Source organism: Homo sapiens, chromosome 3, assembly GCF_000001405.40.
Source record: "Homo sapiens chromosome 3, GRCh38.p14 Primary Assembly".
NCBI lineage: Eukaryota > Metazoa > Chordata > Mammalia > Primates > Hominidae > Homo > Homo sapiens.
Genome location: NC_000003.12, coordinates 129,247,848 through 129,268,866, shown reverse-complemented (window position 1 = coordinate 129,268,866; position 21,019 = coordinate 129,247,848). Strand labels below are relative to the sequence as shown.

Sequence of the window (21,019 nt, the reverse complement as noted above, 5' to 3'; positions counted from 1 at the left end):
CCAGTGCTATTACTCAGGGATTATAAATACTAACCCTCCTGAGAGTGGGAAGCAGAAGACATGTGAGAGAGCCCACGTCTGTGTGTATGTGTGTCTCTATTTTCTGGAGCCAGAGGTGGAAAAGATCATTTCCTCCTCCCAGCATAACTGCCACCCACCCTAGTTAGGTTAGTGGCTTTGCAGCCAATGCAGACCCTCCAACAGAGGCCTGGCCTTGATGGCCTCTGGGAGGAGTATAAGTGTTACCTGTTCTCTGCTCTGCCATGGGCGCCGTGGCCAGGGGCACAGACTTGAGGTCAAAAGGTTTTTCTGATGGTTCTAGAGTGTACTGCTGCAGAGCCCTCTCCAGACCAGGGATGGACACAGTCAGACCTGGAGGTGAAGAGAGGTCACCATGCCTGGCAGATAGAGCAAAATGTGCACCAGGGACCACCATGGAGGCCCTGGGGTCCCGAAGTTACAAGTCCTAAGTAGTATGACCCTGAGAAAATCACTTTATTCTCTAAGCCTCTGCATTCTCAGACACATCCTCCCTTACAGGGTAGGTGTGGGGAATAAACATATATACAAAGTGACTTGTAAAGGGTAAAGTACTGTAAAAATAAAGTTTTTATTAATGATGAGCGTTTCAATTCACTGGACAATTTCCACCCAATTCAGGTGTGACCTGAATGACCCGGGACCTCCTGAGGTCACCATGATGCCATGAGGTTGCCAGGCAAGTCCAGCCAAGAGCATCTTGCCTCTGATTTCCCCTGCCCAGGGAGTGATGAGAACCACAGCTCCAGTAAGGTGCTGAGTCCAAGATAGCCAGGGAATGACTCACCATTTAGGATATAGCCTGCATTAAGGGCCTTCTGCTTCTGCTCCAGGACATTTAGGTAGAAGGTGGCTCGGTCCCTTACTTCATTGTCATCATCCATCACACACCTGCAGCCAGGACACAAGGTGGTCCTGACTGGGACCCAGCAGGGATGGCAGGAGGGATCCTGCATGGCTTCATTAGAGGTAAGTCCATAGGGATAACAAGTAGACTAGTGGTGGCCCCAGGCGGAGGGTGGAGGGAGTGAGGAGAGGCCACACTCATGAACACTGAGTTCCCTTTGGGGTGATGAAATGTTTTAAACTCAGGTTGTGGTGATGGTTCCATCACTCTGTGAATATGCTAAAACCCATCAAACTACACATCTTAAATGGGTAAATTGTATGGTATGTGAATTATATCTCAATAGAGCTATTTTTTTTTTGAGCTGGAGTCTCGCTCTGTCACCCAGGCTGGAATGCGGGGCATGATCTCGGCTCACTGCAAGCTCCATCTCCCAGGTTCACACCATTCTCCTGCCTCAGCCTCCCAAGTAGCTGGGACTACAGGCACCCGCCACCACACCTGGCTAATTTTTTATATTTGTAGTAGAGACGGGGTTTCAGCGTGTTAGCCAGGACGGTCTCAATCTCCTGACCTTGTGATCCGCCCGCCTTGGCCTCCCAAAGTGCTGGGATTACAGGCGGGAGCCACTATGCCCGGCTTCAATAGAGCTATTTTTAAAAAATGGACAAAATAATTCAAGTTACCAATTGTCACATCTGGTTGGTGCAATTTGCACAGCATTGTTTTTCATGCTTTTCTATGCTTTCTCTTTTTTTTCTACAATCAGTAGCTGTATAACTTTTCTCTCCCTTTTCAGTTAAAAAAAAATAAAGACAAAGGAAAGCTGCTTGGGTCCAAGGGAACACTGTCCCCATTAGGGCCCCTGGGCCTAGACTCACCTCTTCAGCAACACCAAGATACTGGGTAACATCTCTTCATTCTGGGCTCCAAACTTCGCCAGAGCACTCACAGCACCTGTGTTTAGGAAGCGAATGTGATTTACCCAATGCACCCTGACAACTCACTGTTTGGGCACTTCCAGCACTCAGAATGGGTCTTCAGGCAGAAGAGCCCCAGAGGCAAGAAGTCTCAAGCCAGGAGGCCCAAAGTCACTACCAACAGAGTGAGTGGCTTTGGGTGGATCTTGGCACCATCCCAGGCCTCAACTTCCTTATCTATTTAATGGAGAAGGGCGCCAGATGGGATTAGTAGCTCCCATTCTAAGGTTCCAGGAGCTAATTTCAAATTAACCATGATGAGGTCACAGAAGCTGGCTATAATGTAAAGCTCCTCACCTTCCATATCCAAATGGCGTCAATTTGCAGTTAAGGCTCAGAATAATAAAAATGAGAAAGGGAACAATTACTTAAAGATCATTTATTGCTGAAAGAAGAAAATCTGTCCAGTGGGGGCATGAAAAGAAATTAAAAATAAAGAATAGGAAGGTTGCTCACTGAATTGTAAACTTTATATAAATGGGTGAATTTTATGGCATGTGAATTATATCTCAACAAAGCTTTTTGTTTTTTAGCTAAACATCAACATACAGTGAAAGTTAAAAAAAAAATCACTTAAGGCAAGGCACAGTGGCTCTGTAATCCCAGCACTTTCAGAGACTGAGGCAGGAGGATAGCTTGAGCCCAGGAGTTCGTGACCAGCCTGGACAACATAGCAAGACCCCGTCTCAATTAAAAAAATACTTAAAAAATTATAGGGGTTAAGAACCATGGCCGAGCACGGTGGCTCACGCCTGTAATCCCAGCACTTTTGGGAGGCCGAGGCGGGCAGATGATGAGGTCAAGAGATCGAGACAATCCTGGCCTACATGGTGAAATCCCATCTCTACTAAAAATACAAAAATTAGCTGGGCATGATGGCACACACCTGTAGTCCCACCTACTCGGGAGGCTGAGGCAGGAGAATCGCTTGAACCCGGGAGGCGGAGGTTGCAGTGAGCTGAGATTGCGCCACTGCATTCCAGCCTGGTGACAGAGCGAGATTCCATCTCAAAAAAAAAAACAAAACAAAAAACAAAGAACTGTTCAACTAGATGACATGTAAGGTCCTGCCTACAATATTATGAAAAACAGCTTGTGCAGCAAGAACACTGAGTGCACAAATCCCCACTGGAGGCTCAGGTCCCTTTGCTGGGACATTTATTCAAGGGTAAGCTAAGTTTCCAAGTTCAGCCCTGGCTCAGACCTACCTGCCCGGACCTCCTCATGCTCCAAGACCACTCGGTTATAGATGAAGCGGATGTACTTTGAGGGATTGGTGGTCTTGGGCCCCTCCTGGCCCAGGAGATGTAGAATACGGGTGGCCAGCACTGTGAACTCGCAGTCCTCGATGAACTCGCACAGATGTGACAGCCCTGTCTCCTTGCTCTCTGAGTTCTCTTCAATGATGCTGATGATGCAGTCCACGATAGCGCGCTTATACTCAAAGCCACCCTGCAGAGAGAAGCTGAGCTAAGCAAGGAGCCTGCTCTCTCCAGAAAAGAGTTGAAGACCTGAGCTGGACCAAGGACAGTTGTCCAAACACAGAACTTGGAGACAGGGCACTTGGTTCTCTGGGCCTCTATCACTCTTTCCTGTCAAACAAAAGGCTGGTCAGGTGCAGTGGCTCACACCTATAATCCCAGCACTTTGAGAGGCTGAGGTGGGTGGACCACTTGAGCTCAGGAATTCGAAATCAGCCTGGGCATCATGGAGAGACCCCATCACTACAAAAAATAGAAAAATTAGTTGGGCATGGTGGTGCATGCCTATAATTCCAGCTGCTTGGGGGTCTGAGGTGAGACGATTGCTTGATCCCAGGAGGTTGAGGCTGCAGTGAGCCGTGATCACACCACCACACTCCAGCCTGGGTGACAGATGGAGGCCGGGCGCAGTGGCTCACGTCTGTAATCCCAGCACTTTGGGAGGCCAAGGTGGGTGGATCACCTGAGGTCAAGAGTTTGAGACCAGCCTGACCAACATGGTAAAACCCTGTCTCTACTAAATATAAAAAATTAGCCGGGCGTGGTGGGGGGCACCTGTAGTCCTAGGTACTCGGGAGGCTGAGGCAGGAGAATCACTTGAACCCAGGAGGTGGAGGTTGCAGTGAGCCAAGACCTCACCACTGCACTCCAGCCTGGGCAGCAGAACGAGACTCCTACTCAACAGAAAAAAAAAAAAACTGCTATCATGCATACAGTGTCTCCAAAGTGCTAGGCCTGGCCAGGCATGATGGCTCACACCTGTAATCCCAGAACTTGGGTGGCTAAGGTGGGAAGATCACTTATAGCCAGGAGTTTGAGACCAGCCTGGGCAACCCAGCAAGACCCCATCTCTACTTAAAAAAAACAAACACAATCACCAAAGTGCTGGGCCCATTAGCTGACAACTCACTAAACATTAGTGCCCTTCTACAACAACATTCTTGGGAAACGCAAAGACACTCAAGGCAATGGCTCCTCTACTGCCTAGTCCATGGGCCACTCTGGGGCTGGGTGAAAGGGGTACCATGTATCTGAGGAACAAATCTACTCCATGAACATCTGCTATTGCTCCTAAGAATTAACCCATTTTGTTGAGACGTCCAAGAAAGGTGGCATAAGTGAATCAGTAATTCACGTCGGGAACAGAAATAGAACCAATGTCGTATTATTAGCACCGGTTTCACAAGAAACCACTCCTAGAGCTCCTGGAATGGTCTAGAATATTTCTGCACTAGAGTCCACCAGAAAAGAACATGCATTTTCCCATCTTCTGCACAAGCATCACCTCAGGACATCCAGTTTTTAAAGTCAGGCTGGTGAGTCATAGTTATTACTGTAATTACTAGCAATTGGTACGTGTTTACATGTCCACAAGGAGTTTAAAGGGTTGCAGGCACCATGAAAACCAGTTGGTTAACAGGCTAACATAAGCACACGCACAAAGCTGAGCATGGAGCCAGTGGTCAGGTCACTCCCTGCACCAGGAGACCTGGCATCCCCCGAATGCCCCTGACTCTTACCTCTTCCCGCAGCATGGTGAACAGGAAGTTCATAAGGACGGCGTGTTTGCGAGGATATTTCTGACACAGGGCACTGATGGCCTGGACAACCACCACCTAAATGAAATAGACGTGCATGAGCAGCAGGCCCTGCCACCAAGATGGGGTGACTCAGTTCCCTGAGTGCCCACTGAGTCCTTCCTTAGGTAAGGCCAGGCCTTGGGCATGACACAAGGGCAAGGAGACCAGAGGAACTCAACTCCACGCTTGAAGCTTGAAGGGCACAATCCCTGAGCCCACCCAAGGCAGTGCCAACAGCCCCAGTGTCAGACTCTCAGACTCTGGGTTCCCCAAACTCTGCTCTTCTACTCAGGCTTCTTAAGTCTCCGAGTCCCCTCCACCCAACCTGTCCTGCTTCTCTCCCTACCACTGGCTCCCACTGATGGTTCCCACCCATCATCTCCTCTGGCTCCTTTTTGGTTAAGCCTGTCTCTGGGGTATTCTGTCCTTGGCCGCTTCTCTTCTCACAGTCTCTTCAGCAATCTTATCCCCTCCCATGGCTTTAACCGCCTCTTATATGCCACTGACTCCCAATATTTATCTCCTGTCTGAGCTTAAGACCTGCCTTTTCCAACTGCCTGTCAGACAACTCCACCTGGCGCCCACAGCACTTCAAACTCCACATGTCTGCAACCACAAACATCTCCATCTCCTTCCCCCTCCCTCATCCAATACCCCATCTTTTCCTCCCCTGCAAACTAGTCAAGAGCACCACTGTCAGCTCAAAGTAGAAAATGGCATCATCTCTGTTGACATCCACCCCTCAACCCTCACACCAACCCTGCCAACAGGCATTATCCCTCAAAAAGCTCTTGCACTGTCCCACCTCTCCTACTCCCGCCGGTTCAGGCACCATCCTCTCCTTCTGAATTACTCCAACAGTCTCTTTACCCAGTCACCCCTCCACTCTGCTCCAGAAGGACTCTTTTTTTTTTTTTTTTTTTTTGAGACGGAGTCTCGCTCTGTCTGGAGTGCAGTGGCACGATCTCGGCTTACTGCAACCTCCACCTCCAGGCCAGGTCAAGCGACTCTCCTACCTCAGCCTCCGGAGTGGCTGGGACTACAGGTGTGAGCCACTACACCAGCTAATTTTTTAATTTTTTTAGTAGAGACAGGGTTTCACCATGTTGGCCAGGCTGATCTCAAACTGCTGATCTCAAGTGATCTGCCGACCTCAGCCTCCCAAGTGCTGTGATTACAGGCATAAGCCACCGCGCCCAGCCAATTTTTTTTTTTTTCAGACAAGGTCTCACTCTGTCACCCAGGCTGGAGTGCAGTGGCATGATCATGGCTCACTGCAGCCTCGAACTCCTGGGTTCAAGTGATCCTCACACCTCAGCCTCCAGAGTAGCTGGGACTACAGGTGCGCATCACCACACATGGCTAATTTTTAAAAAAATTTTCTGTAGGCCGAGTGCGGTGGCTCACGTCTGTAATCCCAGCACTTTGGGAGGCCAAGGCGGGTTGATCATGAGGTCAGGAGATCGAGACCATCCTGGCTAACATGGTGAAACACCGTCTCTACTAAAAAATACAAAAAATTAGCTGGGCATGGTGGCGGGTGCCTCTAGTCTCAGCTACTCAGGAGGCTGAGGCAGAAGAATGGCGTGAACCCAGGAGGCGGAGCTTGCAGTGAGCTGAGGTCACACCACTGCACTCCAGCCTGAGCAACAGAGCGAGACTCCAACTCAAAAAAAAAAAAAAAAATTTGTAGAGATGAGGTCTTGCTACATTGCCCAGACTGGTCTCAAAATTCAGGCCTCAAGTGATCCTCCCTCCTTGGCCTCCCAAAGCACTGAGACTACAAGCATGAGCCACCGTGCCCAGACCCAGAAGGATCTAATATGCAAATCTCACTGTGTCATTTCAGCCTGCAAAGCATTCTTGTAACCCACAGGCAGAGTAGACTGCTGCCTACTTTGCATAATCCACACTATAGAATTTACCACAATATATTATTCATATTATTGTTTGCTCTGATTAAAACTCTCCGGTGACATACTTCATTGTTCTATCAATTAACAATTGTGAAATAACAGAATTACAGAAATTGAGAACAAATTAATGGCTGCCAGGGGTTAGGGAATAGAGAGGTAGGAATGGGCCTGACTATGAAGAGGTAACAAGAGTCTTGTGGAGATGGATAGTTGAGTGTCTTCACTGTGGTGGCAATTTTGAAAGTCTCCACATGACATCTTGCATAGAACTTCACATATATACACACAGGAGTTGCCTGTGTAGCTGGTGAAATCTGAATGAGCTCTATGGGTCATGCCAGTGTCACTTTCCTGGTTGACATTGTCCTGTGCTAGTGTAGGATGCTGGCACTGTAGGAGAGGGTTGATGGAGGGGTGCATAGGACTTCTCAGTATATTTCTTTGTAACTTCCTATGAATTATTTCAAAATATAAGCTCAAAAAATATTCACATCCTTCCTCCTGCCCCAAAAGAACACCTTTCCAATGTCTTCCTTGCAATTAAAACTCTTTACCTGACCATGGGCCTTACATGATTGAGCCCTGTCTATTCTGACTTTGTCACCTGCACTGGCCCCACAGCTCTTCCACCCACTGGCCTTCTCTCTCCTTGACTTGCTCCTGCCTTTCCTCCTGGTTCTTTGCACTGATTCAGGTTTGAGCTCAAATGTCACCCTCCAGAAGGGCCTTCCCAGACTGTGCTCTTCCTAGGATCATCCCTGCTGTATTTCTACACTCTTGACTGCAGTACCCATGCCTGAGATGATCTCGTCTACTCCTTTCTTTACCTGTTTACTGTTCCTCTCCCATCCCTAGAAAGGAAGCTCCAGGAGGGCAGTCACCTGCTTTGTTCACTGCTATGTTCCCCTTTTGTCACTCTACATAGCAGACAGCAAGTGCTCAAGAAATACTTGGACAACAAATCAATGAACCCTTAACTGGCCTGGAAACTACTGTTCTTTCAGTACAAGGGGACGATATGGATGGAGGCCTGGAGGCAGGACTACGCACATTTCTCGGAAGGCCAAGTCTCTGCAGAGCAAACTGCTGGCCTCCTCTGAGTCCTCAAGGCTGACCAGCCCCTCAGGTCAGTCCTGGCAGGAAGGCTGTGGCCACAGAGAGCAGGGACAGAGCTCCTTCCTCTGGGGGCCGTGGGTGTCCTGGGGGTAGCAGGTACCTTGAATTCATCCGAGATTTCTGACATGAAGGAGGAGATCTGCTTCATGAGGCGGTCGATGCTGCTCTCGCTGCCCGTCTTAAGGAGGGTGGTGATGGCCAGCGTGGCAATGCTGCGGTTTGAATCTGTGACCAGGTTCTCCAGATCCAGATTACAAGCTGTCACAGCTGACGGATGCTTCATGGCAACCTGTTTTGGGAGGACAGTGACAGAGAGGGCAGGAACCCAATGCTGTCACTACATTTGATGGTTTGGCCCAGTCAGAAGTCCTTTGGATGAGATCATCTCACCATCTAGAAGAAACTAACTGTGACCAGGGCTATTATCCTTCCCAGCCAGGTCAGAGGCTAGGACACACCTCCAGTTGGATCAGACAGCTTCCTCCAACCCCCAAGCTGGACTCTTACCTTATTGAGGGTACGAACAGCAGCATAGCGGAGAGCAGCCTTGGGTGAGCTGCAGAAAAGCTGGAGCACTGTGGGGAGATGGATGCCACATGTCAGGTTGCCTTCACTGCTGGGCAGCTGGGAAAACCGGGGGCTACTGTTCTGACTCAAACCCTCTGCTCAGCTCATTTCCCTGCTGACACCCCCATCCCAACCCAAGACACAGAGCTCCCCTCACCCTGCGCACCTGAGCCATGGACAGAGGCCATAATGTCTGTGAGCACCCAGGGGTTCCAGTGAGGGCTGTTATTCACTGGGCATCTGCTGTGTGCCAGGTGCTGTGCTATACAGTGGACATGCCTCACTTCTATAGCTTGCAGCCACCACTAGCCCACTTTACAGATAAGGAGACTGAGGCACAAAGGGGAAAGCAAACAAACTTTAGGTTGGCAGCCAGTAAGTGGCAGAACCAAGATTAAATTCCAAGACTGCCTGCACCTGCAGCCTAAGCCCTTAACCTCTGTGAAGTAATATTCCACTCCTCTCTCCTACTGTGTCTACAGGATCCAACAGAACTTCCCCCTTGGCACCAAGTGCTGAAGAACAAAGTCCTCTCTTAAACAAATGGTTTATTTCCTTTAACTAGATGAGAGCCATTCGGGTACCATATCCCTCCCTTGCCCTGGCTGCCCGGAAGCTCAGAGCTAAATTTGGCACTCAATCATAGGAGCGAAGATGACTACTGTTTTCTGGAATATCTATGTTCCTTTCTTCATAACTTGGCTTTTATTCTCTAATACTCAAAAAAAATTTTTCTTAATGCTTATTTTGAAGACCCTACTTTATTTACATCTTTCATTATTCTGGAAATATGGGGGATATAATAAGAATGAATGAATACCCAAATCAGTGACTGAATTCATTAGTTCTTTTTCCATTTCTTTTTTTTTTTTTTTTTTTTGAGATAGAGTCTCCCTCTGTCGCCCAGGCTGGAGGGCAGTGGCGCGATCTCGGCTCACTGCAACCTCCACCTCCCAGGTTCAAGTGATTCTCCTGCCTCAGCCTCATGAGTAGCTGCGATTACAGATGCGCACCACCACGCCCGGCTAATTTTTGTATTTTTAGTAGAGATGGGGTTTCACCATGTTGGTCAGGCTGGCCTCGGACTCCTGACCTGGTGATCCCCCTGCCTCGGCCTCCCAAAGCGCTGGGATTACAGGCGTGAGCCACCGTGCCCAGCAGTTCATTCTTTCTTCATTTCTAAGGAGGAAAGGAGACTTCTCTCTCCAAACATGAACTCCATCTGTTTGCCTGACCAAGTTTACACTGTTATAGTAGAGAATAATAGAAAAACAAGAGGCCCAATCATTTCTCAAAACCTGCAAATCTAACTCTCCTGCCACAACATCTTTGCTTTCCATGGGCCTGTTCTAAAACACTCCCCTCTTCTCTTCCACTTTGAATCCAGGTTTCTCACCCTAAGCACCTCTCCTTTTCTAGCCTCTCAACATATCCACTTTCCAGTACCAACCACTTTGCACCTCTTCATAGGCTTTCTCCTCCCTGACAGGGTATTCCCACACCCAGAGCAGGGCCCTGCACAGAGGAGACACCAAAGACTCCAGGACTCAAGGCTGCTGGATTCCCCTTAATAACAGCAAACAACGGCTGGGCGCAGTGGCTCACGCCTGTAATCCCAGCACTTTGGGAGGCCGAGGCGGGCGGATCATGAGGTCAGGAGTTCGAGAACAGCCTGGCCAATATGGTGAAACCCCATCTCAACTAAAAATACAAAAATTAGCCAGGCGTGGTGGTGGGCGCCTGTAGTCCCAGCTACTCGGGAGGCTCAGGCAGGAGAATCGCTTGAACCTGGGAGGCAGAGGTTGCAGTGAGCTGAGATCGCACCACTGCACTCCAGCCTGGGCGACATAGTGAGACTCCGTCTCAAAAAGCAAAAACAAAAAACAGCAAACGGCAAACAACAAACATGTTGCCTTCTAAGCAATTTGTCTAGATCACACATTTTCTGGCTATATAACCCTATGTAATAGGCATGATCTATCATCCACATCTGAGAAAAGAAAAGGAAGGCATGGAGAGGATGGGCGGCCTTGCCAGGCTTGCCCAGTTGGTAAGGGGCAGAGCCAGGGCTCTAACCCAGGCTGCCCTGCTCCAGTGCTGGAGCTGGAGGCTCAGAACGACCCTCTATACTGTTCTCTCCTTCACCTGGAAAAGTGCAGCCCCACTTCACATGCACCAGTTTCACAGATCCTGGGTTCCTCCACCAGGCCTCCTCCTGTGGCCAGCCAACCTGACAGGCTCCAGAGTGGACCCGAGCCTTACCTCAGCCTCTTCAGCAGTCAGATGGAACTAACAGCAGCCCACCACCAAAACGTGATACAAGTGGGGACTCAGCATAGTGTCTGGGGCAGGTGCTTCCTAGGTACAGACTCCTTAACACTTGTTAAGAGCATTTTCTTTCTTTCTCCTAGCCCGGGAACCCAGGCCTAGTTCCCAGCAAGCATAAACATGTGAGGCTGGGTGAAGGAATGCCCAGTGACCTGACACAGCCGGGGCCAGCTCTTTGGCACTGCAGCCTGGCAGATTGACGATGGCCGAGGCGGCTTCATACACCACCATCTCGTGCTTGTTGCGCAAGCAGCTCTCGATGAAGTCAAACAGTGGGCTGTCACGGCTACAAAAGAACATAGGGTGGCAAGAAAACGTTGGGGGTGGCCCAGCATGGTAGGATGAGTGAGGCATCATCTAGCTGGTGAGAGATGAGAGCCGTTACCTGCCATCCTCCTCTTCCAGCTGCTTGCTGGCCACCCGGATCATCATGCAGTAGGCAAAGGGAGACTTAAGGCCATGCCGTGTGACCTTGCTGATCATCTTATTGACGGCTAGGCGGTCATTCTTACGCACATGGTACAGGAGCCCTAGTGCGTGGTACTATAGGACAGGAGACAGCAACAGAGTACAAATGTATGACTTTTGGGTATACTGGCTGTGTGGCCCTGGGTGGGTCCTTCAGCCTTCTCATTTCTAAGATGGGCACAGTAGCAGCTACCACACAGAGTGGCTGTGACAACTGCCCCAGGTACTCTGTGTACACAGCCCTCCACACAATGCTTCACAAACCACAGAAGTATATCTGTGGTTCTTGTTCCCACCCCTGCTTCGGCAAGAGCCCTAACAGGTAGCATAAATACAGATATGGAAAGGGACAACAAACAGCACAAAGATGAAAGCAATGTGGGAGACCTGGTGCTTTCAATCAGACAATGAGAGAGAGAAGGTGGGAGCCAGACCCTGAGCATTGTCATGTTTTGTAAGTCACTGTGTGGGACACCTTAGCCATGAAATCTTGCATTACCCACAACAACCCTGAAGGTAGACAGTTTAATCTTTGCTGACTTGCCCAAAGACTCCTGGCTGGTACTGACAAAGCTAGGCCTGGAGGGCCAGAAGCCCAGAGACTCCCTTTCTAAAGATGTGAGGTCTCATAGTTATTTCCTGTCCTCGATACTCTCTTTTGTTTCCTAAAGGAGCGACATTTGGGGGCAAAGATATGGCAGCTGTGGAAGCCTTCTATGTGGGAAGCTTATCTGGCCCTCATAAGTGTTTTGAGGGGCCACAGCTGGCCCTGAAGACAAGAATCGTGCAAAGGATGAGAAGACAGATGAGAGATAAAGGGAATACATAAACACACAGGGAGCGCCGATAGGCACTCATGACCCAGATGGGTCACATGTTACATGCATGATCTCAGCTCGTCCTTGCTGCTTTGTGAGGCAGTAACCTTCATTCGTATTTTACAGACAAGGAAACCAAGAGCCAGAGAGATAAAAGGAACGGCTGTCCTAGGTCACTGAGGAAGAGTAAAGTGGATGAAAGCCTCATCAAGATAATTCCACACATCATAACAAAGCCAGGCTGGCAAAGGCCTAAATTTAGGCGGCCCTCTGCCTGCCTTGGCCAAGTTTGCCACATCATATGCTCCAAAACAATACTCAGCTGGTTATCAAAATACTTGAATATTTCAGCACCAGCTGGTAAGCAGTCTGTAACCCAAGCGCCCCAAGTGGTACCCTGGATTCTCTAACCCAGGACCTCCTAATTCCTCCCATGATCCAATGACGAAAGGATTAAAGCCTGCTATGGCCAGGGGTCACAAGGATCTCGGTGGCAAGTGTCCATGCCAACTGGCCAGTGCCTTACCACCTGCCTGAGTGTTTTAAATATCACTCCCTTGCTCACATCTCACCTGGACCATGATGTTATCACTGGATGCTGCCTCCTGAGCCTCATTCACCCAGCGCTTGACCACGTCAAAGCTGCACTTCAGCAGGTGCTGTGGGCAACAGGACACATTAAGGGGCAGGTAGGAAGTGTCCCCATCACACATTCTGGGCCCAGTTCTGGTCTTCCCTCAGACACAGCTCAGGGGCTCGCCACTGTCCTGGTCCTCAGAGACCATGGACAAACTCAGGATGCTCCCACCCTCAATGTCCCTCCCCAAGGCATGGGTCAACACCATCCACCCACGACTCTCTTCAATCACCCCAGAGTTTCTTGGCTGTCTTCACTGAGAAGGGTGGGACTCTCAGGCTTACAGATACAGAAATACTTTATTTTGGCCAGGTGCGGTGGCTCACGCTTTGTAATCCCAGCACTTTGGGAGGCCGAGGCGGGTGGATCACTTGAAGTCAGGAGCTCAAGACCAGCCTGACCAACATGGTGAAACTACGTCTCTACCAAAAATACAAAAATCAGTTGGGCGTGGTGGTGCACACCTGCAATCTCAGCTACTCAGGTGGCTGAGGCATGTGAATCGCTTGAGCCAGGGAGGCAGAGGTTGCAGTGAGCTGAAATCGAGCCATTGCACTCCAGCCTGGGCAACAGAGTGAGACTCTGTCTCAAAAAAAAAAAAAGAAGAAAGAGAGGCCAGGCACAGTGGCTCACGCCTGCAATCCCAGCACTTTGGGAGGCCGAGGCGGGTAGATCATGAGGTCTGTAGTTCAAGACCAGCCTGGCCAAGATGATGAAACCCTGTCTCTACTAAAAACACAAAAATTAGCTGGGCACAGTGGCAGACGCCTGTAATCCCAGCTACTCAAGAGGCTGAGGCAAGAAAATCACTTGAACCCCGGCGGCAGAGGTTGCAGTGAGCCGAGATCGTGGCGCTGCACTCTAGCCTGGGTGACAGAGTGAGACTCCGTCTCAATCAAAAAAAAAAAAAGAAAGAAAGAAACACTTTCTTTTTTCCTACTGGAATGTGACTCTTAAATTTTCTTCAATTTTCTACCCCACCCCCAGCAGGGCTCCAGCAGCAACTACACACCAAGGAAGACACGAGGGCAGAGCTGGAGACACTGGGCACCTTGTCCACAATGGCTTGTTTCATGTAGCGCTCAATAGCCTGCAGCATGGTGCTCTGTGGGCAAAAGGAGCAGGGTGGAAGGAGATCCAGTCAGTCCTTGGCAGCTCTCAGGAGTGCAGGAATGGGGGCAGAGATGAGTATGAGGAGGAAGTAAGCGTTTCTCATGTGCTCCTGCACACTGCCTCCACCCCACATCACCTGGCTCAGTGATAGGGGACACCCCAAAGAATGCAAAAGATGATGCCGAGGCCTCAATCAAGAGGCCAGGAAGCAGGGAGGAACCGGCACGACTCACATCAGTGATCTGGCAGAGGGCTCGCACGGCCGGGCCCCGGTAGTTGTCTTCTTTCCCAGTCATGTCTTTTGTTAGGCTGCAGGGAAGAAGGCATTGTCAGCATGCAGAGAGCCTGGGCCTGTTTACTCCTCTCCAGCTCCCAACACCACCCTTGCCCAGATTACTACACGAGCCTCCTAACCAGTGCTCTCCCTCTATTCCTGCCCCTCCAAGCCTAACTCCACACAGCTGCTGGAGGGAGTTTCATAAGACTCAAAACCAAACAGGTCATCCCCCTGCTTTTGCTAAAAAGTTTCCATAGCTTCCTACTGCCAGTGACCTGAATGTAACTCCTTGAACTTCCCTAACTGGCTATGCTCACTCCTCTCCAGCCTTTGCATGTGCTGTTTCCTCAGCCTGTAGCATTCCTCACCCCTCACCTCCACTCTGTCCTACTCTTTTTTTTTTTGAGACAGAGTCTCGCTTTGTCGCCCAGGCTGGAGCGCAATGGGGTGCGATCTTGGCTCATTGCAACCTCTACATCCCGAGCTCAAGCTCTACTGCCTCAGCCTCCCCAGCAGCTGGGACTACAGGCACATGCCACCATACCCGGCTAATTTTTGTATTTTTAGTAGAGAGGGGGTTTCACTATGTTGGCCAGGCTGGTCTTGAACTCCCGACCTTGTGATCCACCCGCCTCGGCCTCCCAAACTGCTGGGATTACAGGCATGAGCCATCACTCCTGGCTTTTTTTTTTTTTTTTTGAGACGCAGTCTCGTTCTGTCACCCAGGCTGGAGTGTAAGTGGCATGATCTCAGCTCACTGCAACCTCCACCTCCCCAGTTCAAGCAATTCTCCTGCCTCAGCCTCCCCAGTAGCTGGGATTATAGGTGTGCGCCACCACACCTGGCTAATTTTTGTATTTTTAGTAGAAACGGGGTTTCACCATGTTGGCCAGGATGGTCTCAAACTCCTGACCTCAAGTGATCCACCCATCGCAGTCTGTGGATTACATTGTGGATACAGTGCTGGGATTACAGGCATGAGCCACTGCGCCTGTCCTGTCCTACTATTTCTTACTCATCCTTCAGGACTCCACTTAGATCATTCCTCTGGGAGGACTTTCGTAATTCTAATCAAGCTGGATGCTCTTCTGGTCTGCTCTCATAGCCCATAATACTTCCGTGATAAACTATATTACACCCTACCTTAATGGCCTGATGCCTGGTTATTTCTCTGTAAATTCTGGGGCTACAGAGGCCATGTCTATCTTTTTTGTTGCTATATCCCCAGAGCTACACACAGGGACTGACAGACAATATTTTCTAACTGAACCTACAAATCAATGTATGACCCCCACAACCTTAAACTGTGGCAGGAAGAAATAAGAGAACTGAGCCCCAGTTCTTAAGGGCAGTGATTACACTTTAGTCACATCTGTCCCTGAATTGCTTAGCTTAAAGCAGACACCAGTCACTTAGTAAGCAGTATACCGCTTGTACTCTCTTGTTTATTTTTCTTGTGTTCTCTCTTTATACTCAAGAAAGTCTTTGGGAAAGTTCTAAGCTGGTTTGGTTGACTAAGAGAAATCAAGAAAAGGAAGCATTTGTGTCCAAGTCAAGGTCAGAGAATTAAAATAGAAACAGCACACCTGGAGGCTGCCATGGGGTGGGCAGTGGTAACAGGGAAGCTGCCACGGGGTGGGCAGCTGGCAATATGCAACCAAGTCTCACTGTCTGGTACACACAAGAAAAAAATGGTCTGTCAATGGAACCCATCAGAAGAGCCACCCACAACCCCATGACTTGCCTGCTGGTGACAATGATGACATCCTCTGCAATGCAAGACATCTCCTTGATGGTCAAGTAGCACATCCGACGGAGTGTGGGCTGGGAGATAGGTGGGAAAAGCCCTATCAGCCCGGGCTCACCAAGGGCCAGAGTTGGGAGAAGATACCTCCTGTCTCCACAAAGGCAGCCCACACTGACTGGTGGGGCCAGCTCTCTTTGGCCCTCCCACCACCTTGTTACAGCTGCCACCTCTCAAGGAAAGCTGGGTTGAGGCACTTACATCATTGGACTGAAAGAGCTTGGTCATGGCAAAGAAGGCCTCGGTCGCTTCCGTGGTCCCCAGGTGCTCCCCCTGTGTTAATCAAGAAAGAAGTCTCAGCTTGGGACAGAGGGTCAGACAGCAGTTCTTTCAGGATCAGCCCACACCAGATCCCCAGACCCTAAAGAGGCTCAAGGGCAACATATGAGACTTGGATGCTGAGGGGACCCAGAGCTGAGCTGTTGTCTACAGCCACACAGAGGCTGTCCAATAGCCTAAGAGTGATCATGATTTGTCCACTCCCCTCCAATCCCCCAGCACCATTCTCCCTACCCGCAAGCTTCACCCTGTTACCTGGTTTATGAGATAAAGAATCTTGGTGAGGATGTGGGCACATTTCCGAGGGTTGATGGGAGTTTCATTAAATACACGGGCCTAAGAAGAAATGACCAAAGATGTTACCTTCTAGCCTAGTTCATTTCCCTTCAAGTATATTCAATGTCTGAGAAGTCTCAGGGTAAACTGACTTGTCTAAACAGGGCTTTCTGGGTATGCAACAAGCTTATTTTCATAAGGAAAGGGTTTGTTTTTCTTTAATCAACTACTAATTATTCTTAGACTCTCGTGTAAATATTAGTTAGGGATGTGCTAACCTATTGACTAGCAGATACTTAGCAACCATCTGCTAACTGGAAACAGAAACAATGAACGACAACAATAAAGAAAGAAGCGGCTGGACGCAGTAGCTCACACCTGTAATCCTAGCACTTTGGGAGGCCGAGGCGGGTGGATCACCTGAGGTCAGTTCGAGACCAGCCTGGCCAACATGGTGAAACCCCGTCTGTACTAAAAATACAAAACTTAGCCAGGCATGGTGGTGGGCACCTGTAATCTCAGCTACTCGGGAGGCCGAGGCAGGAGAATTGCTGGAACCCAGGAGGCGGAGGTTGCAGCAAGCCAAGATCATGCCATTGCACTCCACCCCAGGCTGACACCAGCAAGTCTCCATCTCAAAAAAAAAAAGAGAAGTGGCCGGGCGCGGTGGCTCACGCTTATAATCCCAGCACTTTGGGAGGCCGAGGCGGGAGGATCAAGAGGTCAGGATTCACACCATTCTCCTGCCTGGCCAACATCGTGAAACCTCATCTCTACTAAAAATATAAAAATCAGCCAGGCATAGTGGCGTGCGCCTGTAGTCCCGGCTACTTGGGAGGCTGAGACAGAAAAATTGCTTGAACCCAGGAGGCAGAGGTTGCAGTTGAGCCGAGATCGTGCCACTGCACTCCAGCCTGAGCAACAGAGTGAGACGCCTTCTAAAAAAAAATACATATATATATATATATAAAAAATATATATAATAAAAATAAACAAGTCATGCAAAATCTCTACCTGCATAATGGCCACAGTCTAGCTTAGGTGATAGTTTTAAACCAGTTTCCTTAGCTTTGGAATTAACTTTAAATAGAGAAATTTTTTAAATGTTTAAATAGAGAGGCCAGGCGCGGTGGCTCAAGCCTGTAATCCCAGCACTTTGGGAGGCCGAGGCGGGTGGATCACGAGGTCAGGAGATCAAGACCGTCCTGGCTAACGCGGTGAAACCCCGTCTCTACTAAAAATACAAAAAATTAGCCGGGTGTGGTGGCGGGCGTCTGTAGTCCCAGCTACTTGGGAGGCTGAGGCAGGAGAATGGCGTGAACCTGGAAGGCGGAGCTTGCAGTGAGCCGAGATCACGCCACTGCACTCCAGCCTGAGCGACAGAGCAAGACTCTGTCTCAGAAAAAAAAAAAAAAAAAAAAAAAAAAAGAAGTAAGCATAACTAACTCTCTCCAGAAACAAAGTTTTCCTGTCTTCCAGAAAACTTCCAGGCACAAGTTTTCTCCCGTGTTGCTCTTTAAAACAACACTTTGAATGTGTTGGTATTTCAGTTGCATTGGTGGTGAATATTTATGATGGAAGCTAGAGGGGAGCAAATGTCACTTGCCTCCTGGAGTACCGCACTCTTCTCAAGGTGCTGGAATGGGTTGGAGCCTCCACCTACGGTCAAGGACAATGGAGAAGGTAGGTTGTGACTCTGAACTTCAAAACTCTCCCAGACATAGGTAAAGGGAAGATGTCCCTTCCTAGGAAATCTAGTAAAGTTCAAACTCCTCAGGAATGGCAATCAAGCCTCTACAATCTGTCTAGGGATCCTACTAGTCTCCTGCAAGCAGGTGGGCTCCACTCTACCCCAAACCACTCACAATCTCCCAGCAGCCCTGGTACAGTCCTGTGCTTCTCATGGTGCCATGTCTTGTGTTCATTTATATAACTTGTAATTAACTAAGTCCCTATGTGCCAGGGACCACCATCTCGTTGTAACTAGTTCCTTCATAGCAGATGACACATTTGCAAATAATTACACGTGTGATTATCTGGTTGATGTCTGCCTCCTCCATCGTGGGTGCAACCATTCTAATATTCCTAGCTCAGGCACTGAGTGTCCCACTTGCTCTGTTGCAGTATCCAGGACACCGTACAGTACCTGGCATACAGTAACTGCTCAATATACTTTGCTGAATAAATGAATGATGGGGTCAGAGTTCCCAGTCACAGGACGCTGGCTCCGCAGGTTACACCCCAGTTTGGCCAGCACCAACGTAGCCCCAGCGAATCCCAAGAGGTTGGACGAAGAAAGTAACAAGAGAACATTCGGCATGGTCCCCTCCTTTGACAGATGGGTAAATTGAGGCCTGGGGGGGGGGGTGTTTGTCGCGCCCAAGGTCACCCAGAAAATTGCAGTCCGAGCTTACAAGAGTGAGACAGCCGCGCATGCTCGGGCTCTCCGAGGCCTGCCACTGACTAGCTGTGGACCCTGGCACAAGCCCCTGCCCCTCACTGGGCCTCAGCCTCCGGGTCAGGACAGAGAACCAGAAGGAAAGCTCGGCGGGTGGGGGTCCGGCCTCCCTCAGACCCAGGCCTGGCCCCCTCACCTGACTCCTCATCCTTCTTGTCGAATTTCTTCAACATAGTGGAGTCGGTGGGGCGCAATGCAGCAACGCAATGCTCGACGGGCGCGGCACGGAGTAGCGGTGCCACAGTGGTTCTACAGGGACCACTTCCGGGCCCCGACTGGCCACGTCGCCCAGCGCTCTGCGCAGGCGCATTCCGCGCTCTGCGCCTGCGCTCTTTCCGGTAGCCACAGCCTCGTCTAATGTTAACCTTAGCTCCGCCGGAGCGGGAGTGGGGAAAGCCAGACGGAGGGGCAAGGGCTAGGTGCAGGGGGGTACTGACTAGCATCCCAACTCTGCTCCCTACGCTTCTTTCCGTATACCAAGGGAGGAGGAGGAGCCCCTGCCTCGTTGCGTTGTGGCGTGAGTCTTTGTGGCTTTCGGGTGTGAGGTTGGTGGCACACACTGGCCCGCAGTAAACACCCAATTGATGTGACCGGTCTATGACTGTTATTGCCACCTTCCGAAGGAGCCTTGCCAGCCACTCACTCCTCGCTTTCAGATTCTTTCCCCTGCCTGATTTCCTCCTCAGCTCGAATCGCCATCTAACACTTTATTTTTACTTTCTGGCTTTTATTTGTTTATTTATTTCTCGTTCTGCTGCCCAGGCTGTGGTGCAGTTGTGCGATCCTGGCTCACTGCAGCCTACAGTTCCTGGGCTCAAGCGATCCTCCCACCTCAGCCTCCCGAGTAGAGCTGGGCGCACCACCCCCGACTAATTTTTTAATTTTTGTAGAGACGAGGTCTCACTATGATGTTGCCCAGTCTGGTCTTGAACTCGTGGCCTCAAGCGATCCTCCTTTCTCGACCTTCCAAAGTGCTGGGATTACAGCGGTGAGCCACTGCACCCGGCCACTTTCTTGCTCTTTTGTTTTTTTTTTTGTTATTTGCTTGTTTGTTTGTCTTTTATTCACTGCAGTGGATAATGTTGGCACATAGTAGTTGCTCAGTGAGTTCTCGTTGAATGAATGCGTGCAATTGCATTTTTAATTTATATCTGCCGGGCCCTATCTCGTCTGCTCCTGATGCAAATTGCCTTGTACATTATCAACCTTAAGAGATCTAACTAAACAGCATAGAACTTCTACGTTATTTTGTAAATACTTTGGATATTTATGGAGTGCCAACTAGATGCGCTGCCTACGCGGGGAGGTGGGGGGAAGGGCGTGGGAAGGAACGGAAAGGGGAAAATGACACATCACCCAGGGTTTATCTTCCTGGGGACCTATGCAGGACACCCTGAGGCTAAGGTAAGCACAGTGCATGCCAGTGAGCCAGATTGCATTGGCAATGGCAAAGTCGTGATGGCCAAGCGCTGCGACACGGCCCCAGCTTGCCTGGGGAGGGGAAGCCCGCAGGCCTGTGGGCAGGAGAAGGAGTGGGCTGTGGAGAGGAGAGGCAGGAGGCTGAGGCAGAGGCCCCAGGTGAAAAGGGTGACCGCAAAGCTGGAGGAAGGGAGATGTCAGAGGGGCCAGCCCTTAGGGTCTGGCTTTGCAGAGGCTAGGGCCAAGGACAACAGATCTTGTGACATGCAAAATTGTCAAGAGTCAGAAAGATGTTCAAAATGTCTGATCGGTAACCCCACCCCTAATCAGGAGGAAATTGTTCAAAAGAAGAAAATGAGGCCGGGCGCAGTGTCTCAAGCCTGTAATCCCAGCACTTTGGAAGGCTGAGGCAGGTGGATCACCTGAGGTCAGGAGTTTGAGAGCAGCCTGACCAACATGGTGAAACCCCATCTCTACTAAATACAAAAAAAAAAAAAATTAGCCTGGCGTGGTGGTGCATACCTGTAATCCCAGCTACTCGGGAGGCTGAGGCAGGAGAATCGTTTGAACCTGGGAGGCGGAGGCTGCAGTGAGCTGAGATCACGCCGTTGCACTC

General features: G+C 49.9%; 1 protein-coding gene across 1 annotated transcript in view; it reads right to left on the bottom strand.

Annotated features, from left to right (window-relative positions):
• COPG1 (coat protein complex I subunit gamma 1) overlaps nt 1-19,261 on the bottom strand; it is a 28,168-nt gene extending 8,907 nt beyond the window's left edge. The window contains exons 1-17 of the mRNA NM_016128.4: nt 19,121-19,261; nt 18,133-18,185; nt 16,506-16,586; nt 16,173-16,244; nt 15,912-15,991; nt 14,124-14,199; nt 13,790-13,882; nt 12,713-12,799; nt 11,240-11,397; nt 11,007-11,140; nt 8,467-8,534; nt 8,060-8,248; nt 4,868-4,963; nt 3,075-3,318; nt 1,768-1,843; nt 827-930; nt 247-372 (exon numbers count right to left, since the gene is read on the bottom strand). Of these exons, the coding sequence (NP_057212.1) occupies nt 247-372; nt 827-930; nt 1,768-1,843; nt 3,075-3,318; nt 4,868-4,963; nt 8,060-8,248; nt 8,467-8,534; nt 11,007-11,140; nt 11,240-11,397; nt 12,713-12,799; nt 13,790-13,882; nt 14,124-14,199; nt 15,912-15,991; nt 16,173-16,244; nt 16,506-16,586; nt 18,133-18,185; nt 19,121-19,157 (1,774 nt within the window). The 5' untranslated portion in view covers nt 19,158-19,261. The remainder of the gene's footprint in view (nt 1-246; nt 373-826; nt 931-1,767; nt 1,844-3,074; nt 3,319-4,867; nt 4,964-8,059; nt 8,249-8,466; nt 8,535-11,006; nt 11,141-11,239; nt 11,398-12,712; nt 12,800-13,789; nt 13,883-14,123; nt 14,200-15,911; nt 15,992-16,172; nt 16,245-16,505; nt 16,587-18,132; nt 18,186-19,120) is intronic.
• Between the last annotated feature and the right edge of the window lie 1,758 nt (nt 19,262-21,019).